At 43.2% G+C, this 20,639-nt stretch overlaps 1 annotated feature.

Moving 5' to 3' along the window:
* Positions 19,839 to 20,339: an enhancer, noted in NCBI's record as "H3K4me1 hESC enhancer chr10:80660163-80660663 (GRCh37/hg19 assembly coordinates)". NCBI's record gives its function as "activates a minimal SCP1, AML or CMV promoter by ChIP-STARR-seq in naive H9 embryonic stem cells {active_cell/tissue: H9 hESC(naive)}" and the evidence as "EXISTENCE:reporter gene assay evidence [ECO:0000049][PMID:30033119]".

Genomic DNA, 20,639 nt, shown 5'->3' on the forward strand with positions numbered 1-20,639 from the left:
CAATGTATTATGTGATAAGTTACAGATGTGTATACTACAAACCCTAAAAGCAAGAATAAAGCAAGACTGAAATAACAAAATAAGTAGATAAAGAGGCATGGGTAATAAGGCAACAAGGTGATAAAATAAAATAATAAAAATGCTCAGTTAATTCAGAAGAAGGCAGATAAAAAGATTTTGAAAAAGAATAAAATAGGAGAAATCACTCATCAGATGTTAAGATTTGTTATCTCACTAAATTAAGATAGTGGGTACCGGCAGAGAGATGGACACATGGATCAATGGAATGAGGAATTAAAAAATAGAGCCACGCGTATACATCCAGCTAATTTTATTTATTTATTTTTTTTTGAGATGGAGTCTCACTCTGTTGCCCAGGCTGGAGTCCAGTGGTGCAATCTCGGCTCACCACAACCTCCGCCTCCCAGGTTCAAGCAATTCTCCTGCCTCAGCCTCCTGAGTAGCTGGGATTACAGGCACACATCACCATGCTCGGCTAATTTTTGTATTTTTAGTAGAGACGGGGTTTCACCATGTTGGTCAGTCTGGTCTTGAACTCCTGACCTTGTGATCTGCTTGTCTCAGCCTCCCAAAGTGCTGGGATTATAGGTGTGAGCCACCGCACTCAGCCTATGTCCAACTAATTTTTGACAAAACTGAAAGAGCAATGCAATAGGGGAGGAATAGCCTTTTAGACAAATGCACCTGGAGCAACTGACATTTCTGGGCAAAATAAATAAATAAATAAATAAATATTTAAAAATAAAACTGAACCTGAATCTCACATCCTTTATAAAAATTAACTCAAAATAGAATACAGATTTACATATGAAATGTAAAACTGTAAACCTTTAGGGAAAAAAACACAGGAGGCAATCTTCAGCATGTAGAATTAAGTAATATGTTTTTAGACTTGACACCAAAAGCATGATCCATAGAAAATATTGATAAGTTGGATTTTACCAAAATTTCAAAACTTTTTCTCTGTGAAAGACATTGTAATGACAATAAAAATACAAATTACACACTGGGAGAAAATATTTACAAATTGCACATACAACAAAGAACTTGTATCTAAAATGTGTAAAGAACCCTCAAAGCCCAATATTTTTTAAAAATCTACTTAGAAAATAGACCCTCCAAAAAATGATCAGATATCTTATTGAAGAGGATATATGAATGGTTAATAGACACATGAAGAAATGTTTCACATGATTAGCCATTGGGGAAATGTAAATAAAAACCATGAGATATTACTACCTACCTACTAGAATGGCTATAATAAAAAATTAGTGATAACGCAAAATGTTAATGAGCGTATAGAGAAACTAAACAGTGCTTTTATTGCTGATGGCAGTGTAAAATGATACAGCCACCCTGGAAAAACAGTTTAGTCTTTTCTTTCAAAACCAAATAAGGGTTACCATACAACACAGCAATTGCATTCTTGGGCAATTTCATCCCAGAGCAATGGGAACTTATCCCACAGAAACCAGTACACAAATGTTTGTGGCAGCTTTAATCATAATAGGCAAAACCTTTAAAACTCAAGTGTCCTTCAGTAGGTGAGTGATCAACAAACTGTGGTACATCCATACCATGGAATATTACACAGCAAATAAATAAATATAAAGAAATTTGTTAAAACTTTTAACAGTAAGAAACTAGGAATGCAAAAAACAACTTGAATGAAATTCAGAAAAATTATATTGATGAAAAAAGCCAATCTCATGGGGATAGGTACTGTCTGACTCCATTTGTATGACATTTATAAAATATCATCATTGTAGAAACAGAGAACAGATTAATGGCTGTTGGGGGTTAAGGGTGAGGGGAAGGGCAGGGCGTGGCTGTAGATGAGTAACATAAGGGGAGCTCGTGGTCATGATACAGTTGTATGTTTTGATTGTGGCAGCAGTTGCATGAAGCAACACGTGATAAAATTGCATAGAGGCACACACACACACACATGAGTGCATGTATAAATGGTAAAATTTGAATGAATTCTAAATCATACCAAGGTCAATTTCCTGGTTTCAATATTATACTATTCAAGATTCTATATTAATATTCAAGATAGTAACATTGAGGGAGACTGAGTGGAGGATGCAGGGATCTCCTTGTACATTTCTTTGTAACTTCCTGTGAATCTGTTTATTTCAAAATAAAATTTAAAAGGAAAAAAAGAGTAAAGCGGGGGAAAGAACAGATGGGATGAATAGACTGTAAAGAGGAAGACAGTTGATTCAAACCCAACCATGTCAGTAATCACATTATGTGCAAAAGGTCTAAACTCTCCAGATAAAGAGAAATTGTCAGACTCAATGAAAAAAAGCAAGATCCAATATATGCTACCTACAAGAAATCCACTTTACATATAAAGACATAAATAAGTTAAAAATAAAAGGATAAAAACAAACACTAGTCGTAAGAAAGTTGAAGTGACTCTATTAAAATCAGACAAAATAGATTTCAGAGCAAAGAATGCTACCAAAGAAAAGAGGATCATGTCTTAATGATGACAGGGTCAATTAATCAAAAGGACATACAAATTCTAAACACTTACACACATAATAACAGAGCTTCAAATATGAAGCACAGACTGATAGACCTTCCAGAGAAATAAACAAATCTGCAATTATAGTCAGAAATTTTATACTGTCTCAATAGTTAGTAGAACAAGTACACATAAAACTAACAGAGAGAGAAGACACTGAAAATATTATCAACTAACTTGACCTTATGACATTTAAAGAACACTCCACCAACAGAAGAATGCTCATTCTTTTCAAGTACGTATAAAACACTTACCAATACAGACCCTATTCTGGACCAAAAAATGTCTCAATAAATTTTAAAGGATTTAAAGTATGTTTTATGGTTACAATGGAATTAAATAAGAAACAGGCTACAGAAATATCTAAAAATCCCCCAATATACTGAAATTAAATAATGCATTTTAAAACGATCTATTGGTCTAAGAACAAAAGAAAATTAGTAAGATGAGAATAAAAACACAAACTTCCAGAAAATTGAAGAAAGAACCCTTAAAATGACATTTCTAGAAAATAAAATGATACATTATTATCTTTTATGAACATAAATGCAAAACTTTATAACAAAAATTTTATCAAACTGAATCCAATAATATGCAAAAGGGATCACGCATCACGATTGGTGAGGTTTATGCCAGGAATGCAAAGTTGGTTTAACATTTAAAAAGCAATCACCAGGTTAACAAACTGAAAAGAAAAAAGAAAAAAACAGTATCATCTCAATACATACAGAAAAGATATTGACTAAATGCAATATCCATACCTGATAAAAATCTATAGCAAAGTATCAACAGGAGGGGATATCCTCAACCTGACAAAAAGCATCAACAAAAAAACTTACTGCTAACACTATACTAAGTGGTGCAAGACTGAATGCTTCCCCTTAAAACCAGGAACAAGTTGAGATTTTCCGCTTTCATTGCTTTCTTTCAATATTGTCCTATAGGTTCTCATCAATGCAATAAGGCAAAAAAAGAAAAGAAATAAATGGCATCTAGATTGGAAAGGAAGAAGCAAAACTGTCATTAAGTGAAGATGACTTAACAGTCTATGTAGAAAATCTGGTAGAAAGAAAACCTACTAGAACGAATAAGTGAATTTAGTTACAAAATATAAGACCAATGTTCAAAATTCAATGTATTTCTATTTACTAACAACAAACAATAGAAAATAGAAGTTTAAAAATATTATTTGTAATAACAAAAAATATGAAATGTTTAGAGAAAAAATCTGAGGAATTGTGCAAAACATATATAAACTGAAAGCTACAAACATTGCTGAGAGAAATTAAAGGAGACAAATAAATGCAGAAAGACACTTACCAAAGGAGATACATGAGGGGCTACTATGCACATGAAAAGATGCTCAGCACCATTAGAGAAACTCAAATTAAAACCACAATGAGATACAACTACACACCTATTCAAACATCCATAATTGAAAAGATTGACCATATCAAGTATTGGCAAGAATGTGAAGTAAAAAAATCTCAAACGCTACCAGTAGGAAGGTAAAATGGTACTTCCACTTTTAAAAACAGTTTGGAAGTTTCTTAGAAAAGTTAAATATATATCCACTATATGACCTAGCCATTCCACTCCTAGGCGTTTCCCAGGGGAAGTGAAACTTTATATCCATACAAATAATTATACATTAAAGTTTGCAGCAATTTTACTTATAATAACCCAAAATTATAAACAATCCAAATGTCCACCAACAGGTGAATATATAAGCAAATTGTGGTATATCCATATGATGGAATACTATTTAGCAATAAAGAGGGATGAGGCTGGGTGTGGTGGCTCATGCCTCTAATCCCAGCTCTTTAGGAGGCTGAGGTGGGTGGATCACCTGACGTCAGGAGTTTGAGACCAGCCTGACCAATTTGGAGAAACCCCGTCTCTATTAAAAATATAAAATAATTAGCTGGGTGTGGAGGCACATGCCTGTAATCCCAGCTACTCAGGAGGCTGAGGCAGGAGAATCACTTGAACCCAGGAGGTGGAGGTTGCGGTGAGCTGAGATTGCGCCATTGCACTCCAGCCAACAAGAGCGAAACTCCGCCTCAAAAAATAAAAAAGGGATGAATTATTGAAACACACAGTAACATGGATGAATCTCAAAATAATTATGCTCAGTGAAAGAAGCCAGACCTCCCTCCACCAACTATATGTACGTGATTGGGGGTGGTGATGGGGGAAGAGAATAATTCCATTTCTATAAAACTCTAACCTATAGTAACAGAAATCAGATTCACGGTTGCCTGAGGGGAGGGCTAGTGGAAGGGAGGAGCAAGAAGGCGGGATTATCAGGAAGCACAAGGAGACTTTGGGGAGCACTGCATATGTTCATTACATCAATTGATTTATTGTTTTTATGAGGTATTCGTATGCCAAAGTTTATCAATTTGTCACTTTAAATCCATACAGCTGTTTGTATGTCAATTATATCTCTATAAAGCTATTTTTAAAAGCAAAGAGCAATAGGAAAAGGGAGCTCCAGAGCCAACAAAACAAAATGAGAGCAAACAATATAATAATGTTAGTGAATCAATAAATAAATCATAAAAAATTAAGAACGTAATAAACATAGATGAAAAATTAATTCCTGAGGTCAGGGAAAGATTTGAAAATATGCCACCAAGTTGTACAACACCAGGGAGCCCCATTCACATCATCTTAGCCCCTAATGTGAACAGAGCACACTGGGGTTACACAGCCCACAGCCCTCACGTCCCTATGCGACACCTCTGCTGCAGATGAGCACAGTGAAGGCACAGGACAAACACAAGAAGGTCAAAGAACATAGTGGGATGTTCATGGATTTGGAGGACAAAATTGACCTTCTATTAAAATAACTGATGCTTTCATACTAGAAAGCATAATAGATGAAACAGAAATATAATAAAGATAGAAATCTTAAATTCATGAAAAGAGAAATAATGGGATTTGCTGATTAAAAAGCACACTGTTCCCAAGGGGCTTGGGAATGGGAGGCAGGGAGATGGTACAGAAAAATCAACATCAAGACATAACCTAGTAATACTGTTGAACTTTAAGAACAAGGAAATAACTCTTCAGGAGTCAGAGTAGAAAAGGAAGTGATCAGTAAACCAAGCTGTACTCAGAATCTTTGGTAACAATTCCAGAAGACAGTGGAGGAATATATTCAAAATTCTGATGGAAAGAAAATGTATACCAATATTATTATACCCAGCCAAGATGTCATTCAAGAATAGAGGCCACTGAAAGATATCTCTACATATGAAAAAATTGAAGGAATTATAGTACTCATGATCTCTTGCAGAAAAGCTATTTGTTGATGAAATTCAGCTAGTAGTGGTAGAAATTCAGTGGTAGAGACTATTGTCCCCCCAGTGGGTGTTTCCTTCTTCTTCAGTCACAAGAACTCTGATATTTTCCTGGGCTCATTCTCACCCACCTATAAGACCACCTTCCATAGCCTCCCTTGCAATTAGCTATGGTCAAGTAATGAAGTCTTAGCCAATGGTGTGTAAGCAGAAGTTATGTATGCCACCAGCAGGAAGTCTAATTAAAAGGAAGGAAGCTTTCATCCATCCTGTTGCCTACAAGGCAGATGGGATGGGTAGAGTTTTAGCACCATCCATCTTAAACCATGAGAACAAAGCCTGAACCAAACGTTGGTAGAGAAGTTAACTAAAAGGAATTAGACTGTCAGGTGATTTTGTGGATCTTCCAAACCTTCCCTAGACTGCTACCTCCAAACTTATTTTATGGGAAAAAGAAATAAGCTTTTATTTGGCTGAAGCCACCATTTGTTGTTGTTAGACACAGTGGAATCAAACTCTGACCAATACATCAGTCAACTAACAGATACATCGAAACAAACTTTACATGGGTCTAGTGAAGGAAGCTGTGGATGAGAAGGACTAGTTTTAAGCTGAGTCTATTAAATTTTTCCCTAAGACTTAAAAACAGACATAATTGTGCCTACAGAAGAGATAGAGATGTTATACAGTCTAAAATGTAAAAATAATAATATAAGTAACAACATCAGCAATGAGAAGAGAGAGATGGGAGAAGTGTAGGGGTGCTGTCCTCATCTTTCTGAGCAGGACATCAATAAATACTGTATAAATTTAAAATATGTCATTTAAAACTGGCTACTGGCTCCAACCTCCTCATATTTTCTGTAATCCCTTAGAGGGAATCTGTTAGAAAATAATACCATCTTGTGCTGAAGAAATATTTATCTAAATAGATCATTCCTTCCATTTCACTTTAGTTTCTTTTTCTTCCTTTAAGTGAAAATAAAATTTAATTTTAAAACTTTATATTAAGTATCTCAGGTTATATAACTCCACCTATATGTTCGTGTCTATATAGACTTCTATCAGGATATGCATATGGGTTGATTTCTGGGGATCACATCTTGTGGGGATTATCTTTTTCTTAGTAGTCTTTTTAATTTCTTGAATTCTTTATAATGAGCATGTTTTATGTTTTTTTTAACATCAATGGGTTTAAAGTGAATATTCTGCTTTACTCATCTAATAAAATTACCCCAGGCATCCTTCAAAGTCACTGATTAATATTTCATAGCTGGGTGTACTTTTTATTTAAACATGCCCTTATACACGAACATTCAGGTTTTTTAAACATCTTACCTCACTTTCTTACATCATGATTTCCTGATGTAAGATTTGCAAAATCTAGATTTCTAAAAACAGGCTTTTTGATTATAATTGTATGTCAATTTTATCTCTATAAAGCTATTTTTAAACATATCCTTGTACATGAACACTCAGGTTTTTTAAACACTTAAATGTTAATAGTGAAAAGATTGTGCCCTAATTACACATCTACCCAGCATGTATAAGAGTGCACACTTTCCCTCAACAGGAATGAATGCTACCAACACTTTTAGATTTTTGTCCATGTGGTTTAAAAACTGATATTTTGTTATTTTAATTTTAATTTCCTTGATTATTTGTTATGATGGCTTTTTTTTTTCCAAGTTATTGGTTATTTGAGGCTTTCCCTTGTCCATTTAGCGCCTAGGTTATTTGTCTTTTTCCAATCAATTTGTAAAAAGCTTCTTCTAGAGAAAGGCTATCAATTTTTTGTAATATATGTTATAAATCTCTACTTCCAACATCTATCATATGTCTTTTGACTTTGCTTATGATATCTATTTCCAGACATAAGTGTTTAATTTTTATGTGGCATATATTACTCCTTTCATAATAGTGAGGTCATTTTTCTAATGCTCAAAACAAAGAAAAAAAAAAGCAATGTCCCTGCTCCATTGCATTCCCCCCACCCCACCCTTAATTGTTTTTTTTTGTTGTTGTTGTTTTTTTCTTGAGACAGGGTCTCACTCCATCACCCGGCTGGAATGCAGTGGCACGATCTTGGCTTGCTGCAACTTCCACCTCCTGAGTTCAAGCAATTCTCGTGCCTCAGCCTCCCAAGTAGCTAGGATTACAGTCATGTGCTACCATGCCTGGCTAATTTTTTTGTATTTTTAGTAGAGACAGGGTTTCGCTGTGTTGGTCAGGCTGGTCTCGAACTGCTGGCCTCAAGTTATCTGCCAACCTTGGCCTCCCAAAGTGCTGGGATTACAGGTGTGAGCCACTGCGCCCGGCCCCACCCTTAGCTTTTAATGTCCTCACTTCCCAGTGCTTAGTAAGCCCTTAGAGATGACCCCACACACAGCAGTAGTGAGGCTGTCCCATCCTGCTGGGGACACTGGATCCCTCACAAGGGCAATCTGCTCATAGTTACTGTCTCCTACACATCAGGTTGCCTCTTGTCTCTGAGCTTTGCCCCAGCTATTCCCCAGTCTTGGCCAAAGTCCACTTTAGCCTAAGGCTCTGTCCTCTAGGGAGGCTTCCCTGAATACCACCTACCTGTACACCAGGCTAGAGGACTTTCTCCTGGGATTCATCATCTTCTGCCTGCTGGTGTCCAGCTAGTGTGCACCTGGAAGCCCCCTGATGCATTGATTGGTCACAACCTGTGCCTTACCTGCTGTTATTTATTTGTAATATCACTCCTGACCAGAGCGCATCTCTACTACCCTCATTATAATATTCTTTAGTTATCCGTCTCTAGTCACTGTGCCCTGGACCACCAGCTTCTTGAAGGCAGAGTTCTGTCTTGTTCTTCTTTGTGTGTCTAACTGCAGCACAGTGAGATGAAAGGATGAATGAAAGAGGAAAGTCCCCCGGAGGTTGTGACACAGGTATGTCTGGAAAGATTCAGTGAAGGGCAGAGCTGGGACAAGGTGGCTTCTGAAAATTAGTGACAAATATACTTGATGTCTTTAAAAACCCTTACTTTACCTTCCCAGCACCTCTATTTGCAAACACTTCACCATAAAAATAAACAAGACAAAAAACCAAAATAAGACACACACAGGTCATTGTTTCTCCTTTCTAGAATCATGTATGTTCTCAGCTATTCTTATTTTTCAAGTCACTCTCAATTTATCACACCTTTGGAGATCCTGAAGACCACCATGAAAGGACAATATAACCATTGCACAGAAGAGAAGACTAAGCCTGGGAGAGGCCCGAGAAGTGACCAGGACCCTGAGATCTGGCATAATAAATCATAGGCTCGGGATCTGGAAACGACTCGAAGGCAGCTTCTTGTCCAACGCTGTGCCTTCAGATGGATAAGGTACCGGATCTCAAAAGACCATCCCATAATAGCCTCCCCATTTTCTGGTTTGATATTTCAAGTACCTTGGGATACGAGATGCCAGCAATCAGATATGCTCCAGTAATCAGAAGCAAATAGTTCTGCCTGGGAACTTTCAGCAGATTGCCAAATGCCTCCTAATCTGGCCACCTTAATATAAATTGCCCTAAAATATTATTTTCTGAATACACAGTATCCAATAACAAATAGTATCTTTTTGTGAAATTAATTTCAATTTAGCTTTAACTAATACTAAATTGCTATGGAATTACATATTACATACACATTACTACAGAAAGAAGTTCATCATGATTAATGTTATTACAGTGAACACCAAAGGAATTAATAATGATTTGCAGTTATTATAAAGCGGTACTGGTGTAGGAAAAAAGGTTAAGTCTAATTAAATTCTGGCAACCACTTTAGGACTCTGCAGCAATGAGGATGCTGGGTTTTATGTTAATTAATTCTATATGAAAGGTTACTGAAGTGTTTTAATATTGTTCAAAGAGCCACATTTTTACTACCAGTGTGTGTGGTTTGTTGTGGTTTTTTTTTTTTCACAGTGACCTGCTAGCATGGGTAAGGCGTTAAATTCTTGGGAATTGATAGGTGTTGGGAAGCTGGGTGGTTTCTTATTCTGATGTCAGAGCCAGGCTTGGCGCTAGGGCCAGTGTCTCCCAGTTCCCTCCAGCGGCCTGTGCTTGGAAAATGGATGACTTTTCTTTGGAAATGGATCTTGTGATTCCTGAGTTGCTTTCTGGGTTAGACATGGCTCCACAATTATCTTTTCACATGGGTGGAGTGAGCAGCCTAGGCATCCCAGAAGGGGCCCACCTTGCCCAAAATAGGACCCAGGGAACACAGGACCTGATACTTCACTCCTTTGGGTAGCAGCCAGAGGGGCGGAGCTCAGGATTTGGAAGGACCTGAACATTCAGGTTTCATGATGGCTCCTTAACTCATTTCCTTTGTAACTCGAGGCAAGTCATTTAAATTCTGAGTCTGAATTTCCTCAGACTTCACAGTATTGTTTCCAGGATTAAATCAGAAAATAGATAAGAAGGAGAGGTGGGAAGCTCCACAAGCAAACAAATGAGTCCGGTTATTTGTGCCCCTCCCCTGGGTGATGTTCCACTCTTGACATGTCTCATTCCTACACCCAGTCTTACAAGCACCTCAAAGACAGGACCAGACTTGAAATTTAAGTATTGTTTCTATTTCATGCCACCCAGACATTTTAAATCTAATACTTTAGATAGTAAAGTTCGGTGGAAGTTTTTTTATTTTTTTAAGCAGATTTTTCCTATTACTCAATTGTTTAAGTTATCAAAGCACACAAGTTGGTATCTCTGGTTGTTTCATCTCTGCAAGCCAAGAGCATAGCTTAATGCTTGACACAGAGTAAAGGCTCAGTAAATTTTGATAGAAAGAAAGAATGGATGGATGGATGGATGGATGGATGAATGGATAAATGAATATATGGATGGATAGATGAACAGATGGATAGATGGACATTGGATGTATGGATGAATGGATAGCTGAACAGATGGACAGATAGGCATTGGATGGACGGATGTATGGATGTATTGATGGATGGATGGATGGATGGATGAATGGATGGTCATCTGGCCCTGATTTTGCCTTTATGACCCAATTCAGATGTAGCATTTATTATAACCCCATCAAGATCAAATCTGAATCCCAATCATAGCCTTGGTGATTATTCTGACAGTCTTGTGGGCATTGGTGGGAGCAGGGGAGGCTTTGGCAAATCTGCCTTCAACATTTCCTCTCCTGTGTACTGTTCCTCACACCCAAATGCCTCTTCATCACCCAGCTTCAACTTGCTACTCAACTGCTCCTTTCTAATGTCATCAACCCTGGGAAGCCTTCCTGGACCACACACCCCAGTCCACAGTGGTCTTTCTCTCCTCTGAGCCCATAGAAATGGAATGCCTAGCCATGGGCTCTCAAACTTAGGAGGCATGAGAATCGCCTGGAGGGCTTGCTACAATACAGATTGTTGGGCCCCACCTTCAGAGTTTTTGATTCCATAGGTATGGGAAGGGGCTTGAGATTTCCATTTTAACAAGTCCCCATATGATGCTCTGGCTGCTGGCCTGGGGACCATACTTTTAGAACATAGAGCTTAGCTCACCAGTCCCTGCAGAACTTGTAGGAAGTAGTAACTTTTTCTTAGAGGAAGGTTATTTCCAGGAAGAACTTTGCTGAGCACTGATATGGCACCTCCTTTCCACCTTGCAGCAATGCCCTGAAAAATGATGGCATTCCCCGCTTCAGTTTTCAGAAGAGGAAGCAGGCCCTCAGAGCGGGAGCAGCTCAGTGAAGGTCACAAAAGCCAGGTCTTCCCCCATTACCCTGTGCTTATGGTCTCCTCAGAAAGGCAACAGCCACACAAAAACAGAGTGATTCTGCCAGGAGCAGTAGCTGATACAGTGAAACCCATGACCTGTGAGCTCTGCACTGTCTCACAGTGGTGAGAGGGCAGTGGAAGGTGAGTGGATTAATTCAGGGTCAAGTGTGGAAAGGACCTGGGGAAGGAGAGTCTAACCCAGGTCACCCAACCAGCTACACCACCCTTGGCAGGTCAATTAACCTCTCTGGGCCTCCGAGGTCATCTTGCCCAAAGCTGTCTTCCTCATTTCCACCTCTGACTTCTATGCACATGCAAGTCAGCTCTGGAGAGCCATGGCCCACCCACATGCCCACCCACATGCCCGCCCACATGCTCGCCCACGTGCTTGAGCAGCTGAGAACCCTGTAGAGTGGGCTTTCCTGGGGGGTGTTATGCTCTCCATGCCACACAGGACAGCCGGGAGGGGCACAGCCCACCTCTTTGGCCCCTTTACATCCCTCAGCATCAGGGGCATCTAATTGTTCCTCCTGTGGCCTTTATAGGGCCAGGGAGGAAGTTACCAGAAGCCTGAAATGCAGACAACCAGTTCCTGATTTAAAGGAAACCTATCGTGTGGGAGGTACTTAAAAAAAAAAAAAAGAAAAGAAAAAAAGAGCCCATGGCTTCTCCAGTGCACTCCACATTTCAGGGCTGTGGTATCAGCCCTGAATTCACTCTGACTCCATTAGCAGCCTGAGCACTGGTGCTGAGACACCCAGACTCTCTGGAACCTTGAGAGAGCATCCCTGGAGAGCTGACTCAGCCTTTTGTCCTCCAGGAGGTAGAGAAATTGGATTCCAAGGCTCAGAGGTTGGCAGGTCTGCATCCAGAGGCAGAGAGATAAAGGACTGCTGCCCAAGTGGTGGGCAGCCCGGGGAGCCCTTTTAGAACAAAGGTGGACTCAGGAAAGGGATGGACAGAGGGAGGGAGGAGGAAGAATTGATTTATTGCCCACAGCTTTGTAGTAGGCACCGTGCCTGCCACATTATTAATCCTAACAACCAGCTTTCAAGGTAAATATTGTTACCCCATGTTTTGCAGTTGTCATGACTGAGGCTCAGACCGTGGAGTGACCTAAGTAACTAGGTGGTCTGGGGCAAGCAATAGAGCATACATTCAGATTCGGATGTGTCTAACCCATGCAGTGCCTCGGGACTGACCACCAAGAAGGAGCTATAAGGAAAGAAAGGCACCATGGTGAGCAGCCCTGAGCCATTGCCTGGTCTCACCGGAGTGGTACATCCCAGGTACCCAGCTGAGGCTTACCAGACCCTGACCCCAGGAACACCTGGTCCCTGCAGAACAACATACGCAACAGAGTGGTGTTTGGGACAGTTTAGATGAGACATTTATCTATAGGCATTTGTCATTATGCAAATCTACAAGTCATATACCTAGGGTTGAGAAGGATTTGGAATTTAATGTCTTCTAGCTGGTGAGGGGTCATAATGACATAAAGAGGTGTTCTGTTTGTTCTTCCCCAAGTCCAGGGGCTCAGTGTGGATGGAAGCGCTCATTCCACTGTTAGCAACACCTGGCTGTGAGCTCAAGACCCCATCATCTTGCATATGGGAGGAAGGATGGAATCAGGGATCCCAGGAGCCACTTTTCACCTGCCTTCCCTCTGCAGATAGAGACTACATCTCTTCAGTCTCCTTCCTAAAATAATGAAAGCTCATGATATGGCTTCACATGCTGAGGGTGTGCTATAACCCAGCCAGTGTGCTATGCAGTGTACACGCCACCATCTCATTTCATCCTTAGCGTGTCCTTCTGAGGCAAATATTCTTCTTACAAACCAAGGCCAGCCCAAGTCACACTGCTAGAAAGTGACAGAGATGGGCTTCAAAGACCTGTCTGCCCAAATCCAAACCCACACCCTTGCCCTTGCAGTCTTTGATCTCCCAAAGGACAACATTGCTGTCAACCTTCCTGTTGTCCCTCTGCAGCCTGGCGTCCAGTCCGTGCTCCCTGCCTGTTTATCTCCTTAAGATATGCCACCACTACCCCTGTAGACAAGCACAGAGCAGGCCCCGGGCCTCCGCCTGCTTACCTGCTGACAGCCCCACCCTGTGGAATTAACCTCCTTTGGCCAGCGCATGGCCCTCCGGGCTCCTAGTGGACTCTCAGCCCAGACTCCCTGATCCTGTACTCATGGAGCTCACAACCTACAGGTAGAGGCCGACACTAAACAGAGACATATCATCACAAACTGCCACTTGTGCTATGAGAGCAGCTAGCAGGGAGGTCTGTTGTGACCCAAAGGTGAGGGAGGGCTGCTGTTTGTGCTGGCCTTTGAGGGTGAGGAGAGCTTCCCCAGGCAGAGGATGTGGAAGGGGGAAAGGGTGTCCCAGGTAGGGGACAGGCACACACAACGGCCAGTGGTGGAAGACATCAAAGCTTTCAAAGGATAAAGGAAGCCAGGTTGGGTAGAGTTTGGAGTTCTGGGAGTGAGAAATGAGAAGAGGCTGCAGAGGTGAGCTGAGGATTTAGGGTTTCCTGAAACCGAAGGGAAGACACTGGCATCTTCCAGTAGGGGTGATGCAGTCGGGTTCATGCCTTTCAAAGGTCTCCACGGCTGCCGGGAGTGGAGGAGGAAGTGCTGCCTATCCACTAGTGCACACAGCAAATCCACAAGGCAGCAAGGTTAGCCGAGGCTCAGAAGTGAGGACTCTGAGGCTCACAGGCATGGATGGGCCAGTCTTATCTTCAAACAAGCACAGATGCAAACAGGCCTGTCCTTTGAAAACTTCCTGCTCTCCAGGAAGCCTTGTTGACTCTCTCCAGCTCACCAGGCTGGCTCACCAGGCTGACTCTCAGCCTCCGGGCAGTTCCAGGTGTGCACCTGTAGTCTCATACTTGGTCCCATCTTCAACTAACCACAGCGAGCTGTGATATCTCTGCCACCTGACTGAGCATCTTGAGGCAAAGATTCTCTTGCTTGACTCCACATCTCCCTCACTCCCATGCTGCTTAGCACAGAGCCTCACAGAGAGGGACCAGGCCAGAGCTGTCCAATAGAACTTTCTGCACTGTCAGTTCAGGAACCACTGGCCACAGGGGCGACTGGGCATTAGATATGTGGCTAGTGCAAATGAGGAACTGGCTTTTTAATGTTATTTTATTTCAATTAATTTAAATTTAAATAGCTACAGGACTCAACACTCCATAAATAGAAAGGGGGGAAGGAAGGAAGTGGAAGGAAGGAAGTGGAAGGGAAGGGAAGGGAAAAGAAGGGAAGGGAAGGATGTTGACCGCAACTCCTACCCGACAACAGCAAGGACAGCTACAGGTTGGTGTCTGGCTGACATTCGAGCACAGCCCCAGGAGGGCCTAAGCCCAAGGAGTCGAGAGAATAGCAAGTGCTTAGAGTCTCAATGCTTAGAACCGCAGCCCCCAGGATGTCAGGCAGAATGGGCCCTTGGAGCCCAGCCCACCCTTCTTGTCCTGCAAATGAGAACTGAGCCCAGAGAAGGGCAGGGACTGGGCCAGGGAGGCCCACAGGAGATGAGCCTCAGAGCACTGTGTCTCTAGGTCCTGCCTAGGTAAGTGGAGGAGGCCCCGTGTGAGACGGAGCTGAGAGAGGTGAGGAGTCCACAGTGCCAGATGTAGATGCTACATGCTCCTGCCCCGTCCCCACACCTCTCTCCCTCCCACCCTCCCTTCCTCCGCCTCCATCTCCGCATTAGCAATATATTTCCAGGACACTCTAATGAAGTACATCTTGAGTCTCCTTTTCATGGCTAATGAGGAGACAACAAGAATTTGACTAATACCAGTACAATTACTGGAGCAGTGAAGCGAGGGCCTCTGATTAGACGTGATAATTTGCAAGGCTGGGCTCTTCACATTAAGTTTGCAAACAGTTTAAAAATCACTTCCTCTATTTATCCAGCTAATCCCTGTTTAATGACTCCAGACCTAAGGAAAGAAAGGGGAAATGTCTCTTTAAAAATTAATAAATAAATAAATTAAAACACTAACAACCCAAATCTTATTTGCAGAGACAAGAGAGGTGGCGGAAGTGCGGCCGACTGTCGTCTTTTCATGCAGACTCTGCCAACATTGCGCAGCTCGAAGGACTTTGCCATCCCTGAACCATGGTCATTGCATTAGCTCCAGCCGCTGCCCCTGTCTGGCTGCTCCTTCTCCTAAGGGGGCTTGCTTGTCCAGCATGGGGAGACAAGATCAGCTCCCTGCCGATGGGGCTGATGGCCTGATTCGGGAACTGCTGGAGGTGGTCATTGGTCTCCCAATGCTGTTGAAAGAATGGGTGCAGGTGAAATTCTGTTGTAGCAGAGGATTCTTTATAATCTCATCACACAAAGTGTGGTCCCTGGGCTGGCAGTATGAGGATTACCAGGGAGCTTTTCACGAATGCAGAAACTCAGGCCCCACCCAGACCTGCTGATGTGGAATCTGCATTTTCACAGGCTCCCTGGGTGACACCTCTGTGCACTGAGGTTTGAGAGGCACTGCTGTGCATCATATCATTTTCCTGTGTCCCAGGGTGACCTGCTGACACATGGTGGTGTTGATTTCCATACTATTGATTTCACAGATCCGTACTTGCTACAGTGTATTCCTCAAAGCCTTGTAGCAGAGATTATGCAAAAGAAGAGAACGTTTGGGAAACTCTGGGTTAAACCAAATTAAAATTATTTGTTTATGGCAGGTTTTACAGCATCTTTATAATACCAATAAGCGTTTTGATGTCTGTGAAGGGAAGTACAGTCTGAGAGGTTTTCCAAAACCTGAGGAGGTGCCCCTCTTGGTGTGTGGGGACCATCACAGACTACACGTAACCCACTGAGTACCAGTTTAGAAAGAGCTGCTATGGACAGTGGCCGATTCCACCAGAGAAATGCAGCTCTCTGGCTGCATCAGTTTCCTCTACCACAAATGTACATCCAGAAAAAAATGCTGAGGGCTCCAAGTGTCCATCAAAAAACAAAACAAACAAAAAAAACCCTCCTCTCATTGCCTTCCTCCAGCACTCTTACCCTCAAGCAGAGAAATCCCCCCAAGAATCAAATATCTAGACCATCAAAAGAAAAAAGAAACGGATCTAAAGGTGGGAGGTTGGGGATATCACCCTCTTTCTCGTAATAATTAATGTTACAGGTAAGGACAGTCACACCATTTCTCTTCCACTTCTTGTCAAAGTAAACGAAATGGCCTAAGGGCCAAGAACTGCTAAAGGGTGATATGTGAGGCTCAGGCTGTTCCAGGAGCTATGTGCTTAGCATCAAATCTGCATGAGAGCCTAGAGGGAAGCACATTTATTAGGCCCATTTTGCAGATGAAGACAACAAGCCCACCAAGGTTTTACAGCTTATTCTACTCAACCCAGCTAAGCAAGCAGTGCAACGACATTCAAACACAGGCAGGCTGCTTAGGCTCCACTCTGCTCCATGCAAGGTGTTGAGGGGATGAAATTAGATTTAAATCCTAATTAACAAACACAAGCACCCACATACTCAAATATATGACCCCAGTCCCTAAACACACTGATGCAAAATTAAATTTCCATACGTACACGAGTATACGTATGCATGTACATGACAACATAAAGTGAAATTTCTTTTGCCTGCTGATATCGTTTGGCTGTGTCCCCACCCAAATCTCATCTTTAATTGTAGTTCCCATAATCCCCACTTGTTGTGGGAGGGACCTGGTGGGAGGTAATTGAATCATGGTGTCATGGGGGCAGTTACTTCCATGCTGTTCTCATGACAGTGAGTGAGTTCTCACGAGATTTGATGGTTTTATAAGTGGCTTTTCCCCTTTTGCTTGGCACTTCTTCTTCCTGCCACCATGTGAAGAAGGACATGTTTGCTTTCCTTTCAAACATGATTGTAAGTTTCCTGAGGTCTCCCCAGCCCCGCGGAACTGTAAGTCAATTAAACCTCTTTCCTTTATAAATTACCCACCCTTAGGTATGTCTTTATTAGCAGCATGAGAACAGACCAATACACCTGCAAAACTTGGAAATCACAGAATCAGGAACAGTTCTCAACAATTACCAGCAAACAGCTCATTTCATCCTCACAATGCCCCTGAGAGTAAAACAACAGGGATTCTTACCTCTCACTTTATGGGAGGGAAAACCAAGGAAGGAAGTGATTTGTCCAAGATCTCATGCTCACCAAAGGTGGTCCGGCATGGATGTGGTGTGGGTCTTAGGATTTCCTAGGGCCTGAGGCCTCGTTCAGACCACTAGCGGAGGCAACTGGCCCTCCTCAGAAACTTCCCTGCCTTTATGGTCCAGGAGAATCTAAAGCCCACCCAGGACGGAGGGAACTTCAGAACGGTAACACTGGAAAAACCCAAGAGTCACCAGTAAGAGACCGTGGAGCAAAGGCTGTGGGTGTATGTGTTTGAGCCTCGACTATCTCTCTCACATACATGCACAGCCCTCGTGTTTTACACAGCCCAGGGTGTTATCACAGCTGCTGACTGCCAGGATCCTGCACACAAGCCACCCTGCTCCCCCATGCTGGCGGAGACCAGCCTTAGCCAACTATTACTACCAAAACAGGGGTCTGAGGCCCATGGGCAAGGGTTGAGCGGAGCCAAGAGGTTGTCATCTTGAAAGAAGGTAAGAGGAAGCTAATGATGGGAGGAGAACAAAGCAAGGATGTGGGGAAAGACCAGGCACTGCCAGGTGTGGAGGTGATGGGCAGGGCAAGCTGGGGCCTGGTAGGTGCTCAGACTATTAGTGCAGAGAACTGGAACCTCGCCCTGTTTGTCTGCAGGTGCACCATGTGACTGTGCCCTGTCTCCTCTGCCTCAGTGTGCCCATCTGTAAAACCAACCCGCTCAATCATTTACTGACGATCTTCTGTGAGAATGCCTGGCATGTGTGCCTGAAGCCCCTCTGCCCAGGCATTCGGGGAAGGGAAGGAGCACCTTGGGGAGCCCCCACTCACCCATGGGATTGCTCAAGTATCAGGCCTGATGGGAAGTGATTCTTCCCCTTGGCAAGCTGCCCATGTGCTGCTGTGTGACCTAGATCGAGTCACTGTCCCTCTCTGGGCTTGGGAGCGTCATCTGGCTCCTGGAAACATAGGCCCAAGTGGCTATATCTTCCCCAGAAGTGTGACATATGAGGAGGAAGGATTTTAAGCCCAGATTGACCTGCGTTCAAATCCCCAACTTCATTGATTTCTCATTTCCTCAGTTTTCTCCCATGCAAAAAGTGAATAGTAATGCTGGCCACATGGGTAGCAGGAAAGGCACATATTAGACCATGGAAAGGAACTGGAATACAGTAGGGCCATCCAAAAGGAGGGAAGAACCTTGCACCTTTGGCTTCCACAAACAAATACAAAGAAAGCCCTGGCTGCGGAATCGGCATGGTATTTGTAGGTGTCTGGGTTTAAAAACTCAAATGCCGGAAATAACTATGGCACAGCCCTTGCCAACAGAGAACCACAGAGATTGCTGTGTTGTCAGTGTGGAGGGATCTCCAGGTAACATTGTTCAGTGGGAAAAAATAAGGTGCAGGGCAATGCATGCAGAAAGCTTCCTTTGGGGTAAGAAATGAAGAAGATCCAAATGTAGGTGTGTAGTTTCTCCTATCTGCCAATAGAAACTGGATGAATAAACAAAAAACAGGAGGGAAACATGTACTCGCAGAGGCAGGGGGCATGGCTTGGAGGTAAGTACACCTTTTCATTCAGTAATCACTTTTGAGTCACATTCAAAATTAATCAAAAATAAAATGAAACAAAACAAAGCTTAAACTGCCTTGCAGTAGTCAGGCAGTTTGGGGAACTGGAGTGAGCCAGTTGGCTTCTCTAATCCAGATGGACAGGCAGACAGACAGATAAACAGTTTAGAGGCCAAAGTCCCAAAGGGGCTGAGGAATGGGCCTACCAGGCAGCCAGAGCCACTCCCAACCCCACATCCCAGAAGGCAGCCCTGAACCCGCTCACCCAGACCCCTGCTGACGGAGCGCTCCACTCCCGGATTCCTCCTGGAATGAAGGCTTTCTCTAAGCTCACTGCAAAACATCCTGGCTGGATCTGTGAACGGGACTCCAGAAGCATCCCCTGGAGAGAGGCAACTCACTTCCTAAGGACATCTTGGCCTTGTGCAAGGCCTGCAGCAGGAGAGAGGAGAACAGGCCAGGCTCTTGTTACTTCCAGCCAGCCTGGGCCCACAGCACAGCTGGGTGCTGACTGGGTGCCACGCCTGGGCTAGGCCAGTCACTGGGTAAGGGCAATGGTGGGTGTCAGGGAGTCTCCTCACACCTCGCTCCCTACCCACCCCTTTAGGCGCGCCCACCCAACACCCTACTCTGAACAGCTTTGGGGGCTGTGCAGGGCATGTTGAGAGAGAGATGAGAAGGGAACCCCCATGCTAAGGTCTCAGCAGCCCCCAGCCCACGTACCCAAGAATGCAGGAAGCAGCAAGATGCACTGGCAGAGCCTGGGAGTGGTGGCAGGGCCCGAGGCTGCCACACAATAGTCACTTAGGCAGGTCCCTCCTCTCTGGACCTCGCTTCTTCCATCTGTATTAGGGACTTTTTAGCATAGAACTCTATTTTCAAATGTCATCTTACTTAGAACTTGGCATGTAGGCAAAACCAGTGTTCGCTCTTCTGGGGCAGGAGGGGTAGCAAGCCAAGCCTCACCCCAATGCCCACCCCTGGCCCCTGAGCAGCCCCTGGGCACTTCCTTGGACCCCTGGCTTTCCTCGAAATCCCCAGTTCTGCTTTTTGTTAGATTCCAAGTGGTCCCAAGGACCCCGGCTCCCATTTGTGCCCCACACACACCACACACACCAACTCACTGCTTTGCCAGTGCCTTTCCAATCTTGATCTTGCTGAGCTCCACACCTGAGTGCTCACTACCCACTGGATACCTCCCCTAGAAGGCTGCAGGCATCTCACACATGAGCTGCCCAAGCAGACAAACACTTCTCCCCTCACAAGCCAGCTCCTACCCTGGGGTTCCCATCTCTGGATGA

The sequence above is a fragment of the Homo sapiens genome, chromosome 10, assembly GCF_000001405.40.
Source record: "Homo sapiens chromosome 10, GRCh38.p14 Primary Assembly".
NCBI lineage: Eukaryota > Metazoa > Chordata > Mammalia > Primates > Hominidae > Homo > Homo sapiens.